This window comes from Homo sapiens, chromosome 1 (assembly GCF_000001405.40).
Source record: "Homo sapiens chromosome 1, GRCh38.p14 Primary Assembly".
In the NCBI taxonomy this organism is placed as follows: Eukaryota; Metazoa; Chordata; class Mammalia; order Primates; family Hominidae; genus Homo; species Homo sapiens.
Genome location: NC_000001.11, coordinates 50,827,410 through 50,839,671, shown reverse-complemented (window position 1 = coordinate 50,839,671; position 12,262 = coordinate 50,827,410). Strand labels below are relative to the sequence as shown.

Sequence of the window (12,262 nt, the reverse complement as noted above, 5' to 3'; positions counted from 1 at the left end):
AACAGGTTCGTTAGCCATCTTGATACAAGTATTATAAGGACCTGACAGGTCATAAGTCTCCTTGTGTAGAACACCTCACTCTTGCTTCCTGTGAAAGCATAAAATGTTAGAATTAGCAAAATCTGATCAACAGTATTTAGGCCCTTTCTTTATTGCTTTTACTTACTGACATCTTTTTCTCTTGTCAGGCTATTATTAGTGATCATGGCCTTATGAAATTCTGGTTGAATAAAGCACCTGGAGAAATAGTAATTTATAAATATGAAATGCGACTAAAGTCTATTAATACCAGACTTCTTTGCATATCAAACAAATATTGTGAATTTTTAGCGGGAGTATGTGAACTTGGAGTGTGTGACCATTTGCTTGGTGTTGGGGTCATTGTAAACTAATGCAACCAAATGCATCTCATAAGTAGGCAGTAGCTTGATTTTTTTCTTGTTTGTAAAAATAATAGTAGAAATGAAATGAACTCCTTTTTTTTTCTGCTTTTCTTGCACAGTTGCCAACAAAATATGCAGTCATTAAGCAAGCAGCAGGGTAATAAATATAATAAACATATATTTATTTTTATGAAGAAAACTTCTCTGCTTCTTGCAGTAGAATTCTTTGTGCTCTGATCACATCAAAAAAAGCAGTACCTGAGGTCATAGGTGTGCCTGGTAGCACAGTTAAGTTGGATATTTTCCCCCTTGTGTTTTTGTCACAAACATTGATCTTAGGGGTTTATAATTTGGTAGTGAATACTGGAAACATATATTCAGCTTCCAGTGTTAGTGTATAAAGAACACCATCTGATGGATTGGCCAGAGTTGAATTTGAATCTGATTTGGATACTTTTATTGTTACAATTTTGAAAGAGTTATTACTAAATCTGATAGTAATAGTGATGTGTTCTTTATAGTTATCACATTTAAGGAGTTTTCAAAATAAAATCCTCTGCATGTTATTTCTCTGAGAGAAAATTACATTATTTAGAATGTTTATATTTGCAAAACCCAGTAACATCTGTGGGAGCAGCTGGTTGTCACAGATATTTTCTATAGAAATTGCAGAATAATGTGTATTTATAATTTATAATTTAATTTTTATAATTATATAAAATATATATATTTTTAATTTATAATTCTACATGTAAAATTATGTTAATGTAAAATTATATATATAACAAAACATAGCTTATATTTATATATAATTATATATTTGTAATTTACAATTTTACATTAACATGTAAAATTATATTTACATTAACATGTAAAATTAAAAGTAATGTAAAATTTTATATTAACATGTAAAATTATAAGTTAATGTAATATATGTTAATACTATAGTTTACATGAGTTTCATAGGATAAAATTTTTTGTTAAACAATTCAGAGCTTTGAAAATATCAGTTGATGAATATCCTCAAGTATAGATTCTTCATTTTATTTTATTTTTTAAAGAAACATCCACCATCTGATGGTATCTGCAGGCTTTACCCCAGATGGTTCAGCCCATAAAACCATCCTGTTGTGATATACCAAAATATGTTTAAAAAGCTGTGCATGCCTTTATGATTTGATTTTTTTTTAAGGGATGATAGAGGTGCTTTATGTTTTTAAGGGACACATTGTATAAAGGAGCATCCAGCCAGGCGCGGTGGCTCACGCCTGTAATCCCAGCACTTTGGGAGGCCGAGGCGGGCCGATCACAAGGTCAGGAGATGGAGACCATCCTGGCTAACACGGTGAAACCCCGTCTCTGCTAAAAATACAAAAAATTAGCTGGGCATGGTGTCACACGCCTGTAGTCCCAGCTGCTCAGGAGGCTGAGGCAGGAGAATCACTTGAACTCAGGAGGCAGAGGTTGCAGTGAGCTGAGGTCACGCCACTGCACTCCAGCCTGGGTGACAGAGTGAGACTCTGTCTCAAAAAAAAAAAAAAGGAGCTTCCCCTTTCCCAACCCTATCTTTTACTATTTTCATAAAGTTGAGGTCTGAATTTACTTTCCAGATTGGGTATGTATTTGGTACAAACTTTATAGGTCAATGTTAGATCTAGTAATTATCCTTCAATTGTTGTCTTTGAGTTTATACAATAGAAGTTACTTGACTAGCGTTTTACTCTTTTTGTAGAAAACATATAATCCATATTCAAATCAACATTTAAAAATATTTGTAAAGAAAGAAATCCCTTATGTAGTATTCTTGCCAAAAATATTTAACTGAATCTAATCATGAGGAAGCAACCAGGCACGTCGAAATTGGAGGTTATTCTATAAAATAGTTTAAAATTGTTAGTGGCATGTAAAGCAAACAAAAAGGTGGGGAAGTTGTTCCAGATTCAAGAAGACCAAGAGAAAAGACAACTAAATACAACAATGCGTGATCCCCAAGTAGATCTAGATCCAAAACAAGAACAAGAAACATAACATATGGCCGGGCACGGTGGCTCACGCCTGTAATCCCAGCACTTTGGGAGGCCAAGATGGGCAGATCACGAGGTCAGGAGATCAAGACCATCCTGGCTAACACAGTGAAACCCATCTTTACTAAAAATACAAAAAATTAGCTGGGCATGGTGGCGGGTGCCTGTAGTCCCAGCTACTCGGGAGGCTGAGGCAGGAGAATGGCGTGAACCTGGGATGCAGAGCTTGCAGTGAGCCGAGATCACACCACTGCACTCCAGCCTGGGCGACAGAGCAAGACTCCATCTCAAAAAAAAAAAAAAAAAAAAAAAAGAAACATAACATACACTTGTAAGAGACAATTGGAAGAGTTGGAAGAATTCAAATATGTACTATTTTGTAGTTGCAATATAGAGTCAATATTAATTTTTTTGACTTTGATAATGATATTGTGGTTATAAAGAGAATATCCTTATTCTTAAGATTAAATGCTGGGACAGAGTGTCATAATGCTTGCAATTTACTTTCTTTTAAAATTGTTTTATTTTTAATTGACACATAATAATTGTGTATGTTTATAAGGTTGCAATTTACCTTCAAATGTGAAAGAAATGGTATATGTATTTGGCCAGAAAGGATGAAAGTAAACTTGTCAGAGTATTAACAATTATTGAATCCATGTGAAAGGTACATTGATGTTCATTGTACTTTTCTTTCAAGTTTTCTCTAGATGGAAATTTTTTTAAAAAGCTGGGGACAAAATCTCCACAAAGAATAAACTGTAATATTAGGACAGTGCAACTTACTATTTTGGTCCAATTTTTGTCCCTAACATTACCATTTGTAAGAGATTATTGAATATATGTTCAATACTTATTTATTATTTTGTTTCCTACAGTTTAATAATGCTACTCCATGATTTTAGAATGTTTTACAGTTTACAAAACATGGCTGGGCATGGTGACTCATGCTATTATACCCAGCACTTTGGGAGGCTGAGGTGGGAGGATTGCCTGAGCCCAGGAGTTCAAAGTTAAAGTGAGCTATGATCACATCACTGCACTCCAGCCTGGACAACAGAATGAGACCCTGTCTAAAAAAAAAAAAAAAAAAACAGAAACAAAAAACAAAAACACACACACACAAAATCCCCAAAAAACTACATACAGAGAGAGTATTTATGTACATCCTATTTCTGTTTTGTGAAATAGATGAGATAGGTGGTATTTTCCTCACTTTACAAATGAACAGTGTGTTTTAGAGAAATATTCCCAAGATCATAGCCAGCTACTTTTGTGCCCAGACTTCCCTCCTAAGCCTTGCAGTCTTCCCTGTATCAACCTTGATGTCCCACAGATTATTTTAAATGCAGTGTACCACAAAATTGTTCCTTTTTTCCTCTTTAGATTATTCCTTGGTAATGGTGCCTTGATCTACCCAAATAGACCAGTCGCATATCTGGAAGCCATCCTACAATTACTATACTCTTACCTAATTGGCTCTAGGGGGAGAAGAAATGGGGAAGAGAAGTAATGTTTTTCAAGTACATATTTAATATCTGGTTCTATGTGTTCGATGATTTTCATGAATCTTATTAAATTCTTTCAGCAGCTACCGTGTTTAGATGGTGTCTCCAATTTTACAGTTTCATAATAGAGATTTGGAAATAGGCTTAACAAGGTTAAGTGATTTTTTTTTTTTTTTTTTTTTTTTTGAGATGGAGTCTTGCTTTGTCATCCAGGCTGGAGTGCAGTGGCGCAATGTCGGCTCACTGCAACCCCCGCCTCCTGGGTTCAAGCGATTCTCCTGCCTCAGCCTCCTGTTAAATGATTTGTTCTAAGTTGCAAAGCTCATAGACAGTGACTAGGGGATTTGAATTTAGGTCTTAAACTTTCTAAAGTCTGCATTCTTTACAATGTACATAAGCAAATTTCTCTTAAATCTTTCTCTTAACTTTTTATAACACTACCATTGCTTAAGTCTCAGTTTGGATTACTGGAAGAGCCTACCTACTCAGTTTTTCAGTATTCAACCTTATTTCCTTTAGTTAAGCTTCTGTGCTGTTGACAGAGTGATCTTTCTAAAATCCCACTCTGGTCGTAGTGCTTCTCTTCATTGATAGAATGAAAATGGCAAATAAAGCACTTCATATAATCCAGTTCTTGCCTTCTTTTCTCATCTTCACATACTTCCTCACATCTGTGCTACTCTTCAGCCACACTGAAAAATGGAATTAAAGCTTTAGTCTGTCATAACTGCTTGCCCTTATTATTGTTACTACCCTAGTCTTTCTTTCTTTGCTGTGTTATCTGTTGCATTCATTATTCAAGACTCCAAAGAGTAAGTTCCTATAGGAAGTCTTTATAATGCCTTCACTGGCTGTATTAGGTATTTTTTCTTTGCCGTGTGCATACATCTGTTATAGAACTACATTATAACTATTTGTTTTCATGCCTTTTGCTGTAATACTGTGAATTCCTTGAAAGTCACACCTCACAGATTTTCAGTGTTCAGTAAATGTTTATTACTGAATGGAGATTAGTGAACCTCCTTCTAATCCCCACACTATGAATATACTTTTCCTTAGGGAGGCTAACATATATCAGTTTTTCCATAGAGGTTGTTGTGACTTTTATATTTATTTGCTTTGTTCATCCTGAGTATTGGAATAGTAATTAGGGGACCTGATTTCTAGTTTTGGCTCTGCCACTTATTTGCCATACTTTCTTAGGCAAGTTACTGTAATTTGGCCTTGGTCTCTTGGCCTCAATTATCTCATCCATTTAATAGCAGGTTGAATTAAGTGTTTCCTGACCTCTTACCTGTCTTTCCCAATGACTCTGATTTTCTTGGGAAGGGTTTTGAGCAGAGAGATGACATGTTGGTAGTGGTCTTACGAGTTTCACTTTGACAGAATGTGTAGGATGTGTTGGAAGGGTGTATTAGTCCATTCTTGCATTGCTATAAAGAACTAACTGAGATGGGGTAATTTATAAAGAAACGAAATTTAATTGGCTTACAGTTCTGCAGGCCGTACAGGAAACATGGCTGGGGAGGCCTCAGGAAACTTACAGTCATGGTGGAAGGAAAACAAAGGGGAAGCAGGCACGTCCTACATGGCTGGCGCCAGGAGGAAGAGGGCGAAGCGGGGGTGCTACACCCTTTTAAACAACCAGATCTCCTGAGAACTCACTATCATGAGAACAGCAAGGGGGAAATCCGCCCGATGATCCAGTCGCCTGCCACCAGGCCCTTCCTCTAACATTGTGGATTACAATTTGACATGAGATTTGGGCAAGGACATAAATCCAAACCATATCAAAGGGGATAAACCAGATGAATGCAGAGAGACCAGTTAAGAGAGTAATGTGGTTTCATGAGCGCCTGGAATGTGATCAATATTTGGAAAAGGAGAAATAATTGTGAAAGAAACTTTACAATTTGAGATGGTAAGGGCAGATGTGGTATCACAGAAAGATATCTGGTCTTTGTCCCTGAGTTTTGGCACAGAGGTCTTAAAACCCTTGGAATTTCCTGAGCCATAAGGGTAATAAAAGTGTCTTTTGTTCTAATGAGTCTACTCTTGGTGGGCCTCTAGATAGCTTCAGGATGGGGGCTAGTTGCCAGGAAGAACAAGCCTTGATTAGAAGCTTGGAACTTTCAGCATGACCTCCCCAACCTCTGGGGAGAGGACAGGGGATAGAGATTAAGTTGATCACCAGTGGCTAATGATAATCAATTGTGCCTATGTAATGAAACCTCCATAAAACCCCTAAACAACAGGATTTGGAGAGCTTCCAGATTGGTGAATGCAGTGAGGTGCTGAGATGTTGGCATACCTGGAGAGTGCATAGAAGCACTGTCTCCCACACACCCGCCCCCACACACCTTACCACCCTGTGTATCTTTTCCATTTGGCTGTTCCTGAGTTCTTTTTTTTTTTTATAATAAGCCTGTAATGGTAAGGAAAAAGCATTTTCCTGAGTTCTGTGAGTACTAGCCAAATATCAGACCTCAGGAGGGGGTTGTGGAGACTTCAAATTTGTAGCCAAGATGGACTGCATTGTGGGTAACCAGGGGACCTAATACTTGCAATTGGCATTTGAAGTGAGGGCAATCTTGTGGACTTTTAAACCTACGGAGTCTGACACTAACTCTGGGTAGTTAGTGTCAGAATAGAATTGAATTGTTGGAGACCCAGTTGGTGTTCAGAGGATTGGAGAATTTTAAAGTTGATGTCAGAATTGGTTGGTGTAAGGGGGAAAAAAAGGCCATAACAGCATGGTAGAGTGATTGTCTTCTCTGCAGATCCTGTCTTCGCTGCAAAAAAGGACTCCAAGATTTGAAGCCTATGTTGACTTAAACAGAGAATTAGGTATTCTATTTTGAGAGAAATAAATAGCTTAATTTTTTTTTATTTCTGCCTTAGCTTCAAAAGAGGATGCAAAGAAATGGAACTTTATAACTAGAGACATAGTTATTTTCAGATTTACACAGAAAATGTTATTTTCCCACATGGGGAAACAGCTCCCTAAAACACACAGAAAGAGGATTATCAGTCAGAAACAGCATAAAGACAGGGAAAAGAGGTGGAGAACCTTCAGTAAAAACAAATAACTATCCTTACTTGCTCATCATTTTCCAAGGTTGTAAAGTTTTGGTTTTGAGGATTTTCTTCACTTGGACTTAACACTGTGAGGAAGGTGGTCTTCTTAATATTATTGAAATTGCACACTTTAAATTTAGTGTTTGTCAAACTCTCATATATGTTAAACAGGGAGCTTTAGAAAACATCTTTACTGTACTCTGAGGGTGCTATTGGCACTTACTAGCCCAGGCAATCAAGAGAGCTAGAAATCTTTCTTTATCAAAGTTGATACTAAGTCTGGGAAGTGCTGAGTGACCAATTTGTTCCTGTTGCTACTGCTGGATTCTGTGCCAGTACTGGACAGTGGTAACAACTGTTGAGGCTGCTGGTGCTAATGTCTTTTCTGCTAGTAGTCCTCTAAATCAGCAGTCCCCAACCTTTTTAGCACCTGGGACTGGTTTTATAGACAACAGTTTTTCTGCGGACTGGAGTAGAGGATGGTTTTGGGATGATTCAAGCTCATTACATTTATTCTCCACTTTATTTCTGTTATTGCATTGTAATGTATAATGAAATAATTATACAACTCACCATGATGTAGAATCAGTGGGAACCCTGAACTTATTTTCCTGCAACTAGATGGTCCCATCTGGGGGTGATAGGAGACAGTGACAGATCATCAGGCATTAGATTCTCATAAGGAGCACACAGCCTAGATCCCTCGCATGCACAGTTCATAATAGGGTTCATGCTCTTGTGAAACTCTATTGCTCCTGCTCATCTGACGAGAGGCGGAGCTCAGGTGGTAATATGAGTGATGGGGAGTGGCTCACATTACCACCCTTCACAGGGCCTTCTCTGTGTCTCAGTCCTTTTTTTTTTTTTTTTTTTGTCTCTGATAAGGATACTCTTATGGGTTCTAGGATCTACCATAATCCAACATTATGTAATCCCAATCCTTACTTTAATTCCATCTGCAAAGATCCTGTTTCCAAGTAAGGCTCACATTTTTAGAAAAAGACATGAATTTTTTAGACACACTATTCAACCCACTATAGGAAGCTACTAGCAATTAGATAAAACTCTTATTAGTAGGGGTCTTGTTTTCTCTTGATCATATTCATTCATTTGCTCAACAGACATTTAAAGAAACCCAACACTGTACAAGGGGACGGTGTAGAGAAAGACGGCAGATATATTCTTTGCTCTTAAGGAGCTCCCAGTGTCACTGGAAGGCAGATGTAGACACCAGTATCTGCAGTACAATATGACAGGCTGGGCATGGTGCTGTAGGAATACAGAAGACAGATTCTATATTTGTTCTGGAGGGGCCTAAAGTTGCACATTTAAATCTTGAGGAAAGACAGGGAATTTGCTGAAAAAGCTAATATCAAGTGTAAAGACACTGGGTCAAAAGAGAGTAGCTTAGGAAGTCATAGGTTCTTAAGTGCTGCTGGATCACGGAGTGCACTTAAAGAGTGCATTAAAGATCTATTACTGTGTAAATAGTGATTTAAATTCTCAGCTAATTATTTGTTAATTAGGAACTTTAAAAAAAAAATCCCTGCTTTGTCTACTGACTCAATTCACCTTTAGCATATGTTGAATTTTTCTATATACTATGGTTTCTTTGGGGCTATTCCTTTGTTGTTTTTGTGATTTTTAAAAATCTGTTTTTGAACTAGATTCAAATGGTTTTCCTTAATGTAGCTTTATAATGTTTACTTACAAATGATGGGTCAAGTATATTTTCATTATACTCTTTTACAAAAATGTTTTGGTGGTTTTCAAGTTTTTTTCTTCCAAATGGGTTTAGGTTACAAAAAAGATTCTGTTGATATTACTTCTAGAATTTCTTTATTCTTATAAGTTCATTTGGGATCAGTTGGCATCATTTCAGTAGTCTTTGCAGTCTGGAATAACTTCTCATTTTTTTCAACATTCCTTTTTATGTTCTTCAGTAAAGTTTTAAATGTGTTTATTTTTTATTTTAAAATGAGATGGGAAGCCATTGGAGTTGGTAAAAAAAAAAAAAAAATTGAGCACTGGAGGAAGCCACAGTATACACTGGCTAATCTATTTGATAAACTAATAACAAATTCTATTCAGATTACAAAATATAGGTTGGTAAAACTTGGAAATGTTTATAGAAGATGTATTAGTTGCTGAGATGGTCAGTCTGTATTGATCTAATGGTCAATTTGAATTAACTCTAATAACTATCATAGAAAGTTTATAAGAACAACCTTTTTCCCAATGTCTCTGTATCTTAAATGATACCCTGTGGTGCTGGGCGCAATGGCTCACGCCTGTAATCCCAGCACTTTGGGAGGCTGAGGTGGGCAGATCACTTGAGGTCAGGAGTTTGAGACCAGCCTGGCCAACATGGTGAAACTCCATCTCTACCAAAAATTAGTTGGACATGGTGGCACGTGCCTGTAGTCCCAGCTACACTGGAGGCTGAGGCAGCAGAATCGCTTGAATCCAGGAGGTGGAGGTTGCAGTGAGCCAAGATCATGCCACTGCACTCCACCTTGGGCAACACAGCAAGACTCTGTCTCAAAAAAACCAAAAAGACCCAAAAAACAAAAACAAAAAGAAGCAAGAATGATACCTTGGGGGTCATGAAGAGAGAGTTAGACATACTGTGTTAATCTAGATGTCTCTGATGTAGATGCAGTTCTCTTCCATCAGCCCACCTGAACCTAAAAGGGACATAGCAAGACAACAAGGTTTAGGTGGTACCTGCATGCCAGATTCTAATTACCAAACCATTATTTCTTTTGTAACCTCACAATTTCTTTCAAACTAGTAGTGCTTTTTGATTTACAATGATATTTTTCTTATTCTTCTCACTTGCAAAAGCAGTTTGGCTCATGACGTTTAAACAACTGGAATGCTGGCTCTTGATTTGTCAATAATTGGCAACTCAGTTACAGGATATAATGTCAGCTGTCCAGATTTAGAAGAAACAAGTGGAATAGGAAAAAAGAGAAGGGTGTGTAGGTAGTTTCTTGTTTTCCTGATGTTTCCACTAAGTACAGAAAGCTCTGAAAGAGAAATGGACTTTTGGGAAGGGGTGTTACCTTTGACTGCCTTTAATCCTGAGTTGCAGTCTCAGCTTCCTACTTTGGCACACATGCCTGTTTTCCTTTTGTGGAATGTGTTAAGGAAGGCAGCAGATGGTTGTCAACACTGTTGAGGTTAGACTCTAATGAGAGGTCACTTTGTTGGGGGTGAATTGATTTATAGTTTACAGTACATTCTGTATTCATAGTAGGTGATACTGTGAAAGCAAAACTGTGAGATCTCATTAAAAAAGAAATGGAAGGATAATGCCTTTTTTGTTTATTTTACCCCACCACACAACAGACCCTTCAATTTGGCCTGGTACCATCATCTGCTTTGATTTTAAAATACAGCTCCTCACAGGAATGCCTCTCCCTTACCCACCCCTCACCACACTATGATTATATCACATTACTGCTTTCATGAAAGTGGTTGTCAGTACAACCTATCTCCTACTCTCTACTGGCAGAGTTTGAGAGTTCCAGTTGCTCTACATTCTTGCCACTCACTACCTGTCAGCCTTTTTAGCTTTTAATCCATTATTTTGAGCTTAGAGGCATTTCATTGTGGTTTTAAATTATACTTCCCAGATTATTAATAGCCATTTGGGGATGCTGTCTTGTGAGTGCCTATTCAAATCTTTTTCTTTTCTGTTGAACTGTGTGTCTTTTTCCTGTTGATTTACAAGAGTTTTTTATATTTTCTGGATAGAAGCTTTTTGTTGTGTGTTGCAGAGATCATCATCTATTCTGTGGCTTGTGTTTTTGCCCTTTTAATGAGTCTTTAATAAGCAAGAATAACTAATTTTAGTGTAGTTCAGTTTATTCTTTCCTTTATTGATTTTGTTCTTTTGGATCCTGTTTTCAAAGAAACCTGTCCACCTTCAGCTCATGAAGATGTTTTCCTGCGTTTCTTTTAGAAGCATTGTTTTTACCTTTTATATTTAATGTCGTAATTTATCGAAAGTTAATTTTGTGTTGGTATAAGAGAGCCTGAAGTTTGTTTTGTTTTTCTCATGGGGTATCCATTTAACCATCATTTATTGAAAAGACCCTTCTTGGCCGGGCGCGGTGGCTCAGGCCTGTAATCCCAGCACTTTGGAAGGCCAAGGTGGGCAGATCACGAGGTCAGGAGATCGAAAACATCCTGGTTAACACAGTGAAACCCCGTCTCTACTAAAAAATACAAAAAATTAGCCGGACGTGGTGGCGGGCGCCTGTAGTCCCAACTGCTTGGGAGGCTGAGGCAGGAGAATGGCGTGAACCCAGGAGGTGGAGCTTGCAGTGAGCCAAGATCGTGCCACTGCACTCCAGCCTGGGTGACAGACTGAGACTCCGTCTCAAAAAAAGAAAGAAAAAAAAAAAAAAAGAAAAGACCCTTTTTTCCCTACTTCTCTGCAGTGCCATCTTTGTCATAAATCAAGTATTCCTACCTGTATGGGACTGTTTCTGAATTCTCTAGTCTTTTATATTTGTTTATTTGTCTATACTTGCTTCATTCAGTACTACCCTGTTTTATTTATTAAAAGTCTTGATAACCTGGTAGTGTAGGTCTTTGAACTTTTTCTTTACTAAGATGGTCTTGGATATTCTTGGGTCTTTGTATCTTCACATATATTTACAGTCAAGTTATCAATTTCCTCAAAAAATATTCCAGGATTGTAATTGAGATCATATCAGATTTGAAGATGAATCTGGGAAGAATTAACATATTTACAGTATAAAGTCTTCAAATCTATGAACATAGAATATCCTTCCATTTATTGAACTTGTCTTTGTTTATCTCTTAGTACTCTTTTAGGCTCTCTGTCGTAATTATGTACATTTTTCTTTTGATATTGGTTTAGGTATTTTTAAGATATTCGTTAGATATTTTTATTCAGATATTTTATTTACGTATTTAGGTATTCTTTAAATAATCTTTAGGTATGTTTGGTGGAATTCATTAGTGAAGCTGTGTCTGGAATTTATTTATTTATTTATTTATTTATTTTTTAGTATTTATTGATCATTCTTGGGTGTTTCTCGGAGAGGGGGATGTGGCAGGGTCATAGGATAATAGTGGAGAGAAGGTCAGCAGATAAACACGTGAACAAAGGTCTCTGGTTTTCCTAGGCAGAGGTCCCTGCGGCCTTCCGCAGTGTTTGTGACCCTGGGTACTTGAGATTAGGGAGTGGTGATGACTCTTAAGGAGCATGCTGCCTTCAAGCATCTGTTTA

The 12,262-nt window shown here is 37.3% G+C and overlaps 1 protein-coding gene across 4 annotated transcripts in view, besides 1 other annotated feature; it reads left to right on the top strand.

Annotated features, from left to right (window-relative positions):
* FAF1 (Fas associated factor 1) overlaps positions 1–12,262 on the top strand; it is a 523,240-nt gene that overhangs the window by 120,596 nt on the left and 390,382 nt on the right. The gene's annotated exons all lie outside the window — the stretch shown is intronic.
* Positions 9,829–10,029: a silencer, noted in NCBI's record as "peak217 fragment used in MPRA reporter construct". NCBI's record gives its function as "represses an SCP1 promoter by STARR-seq MPRAs in K562 erythroleukemia cells {active_cell/tissue: K562}" and the evidence as "EXISTENCE:reporter gene assay evidence [ECO:0000049][PMID:32103011]".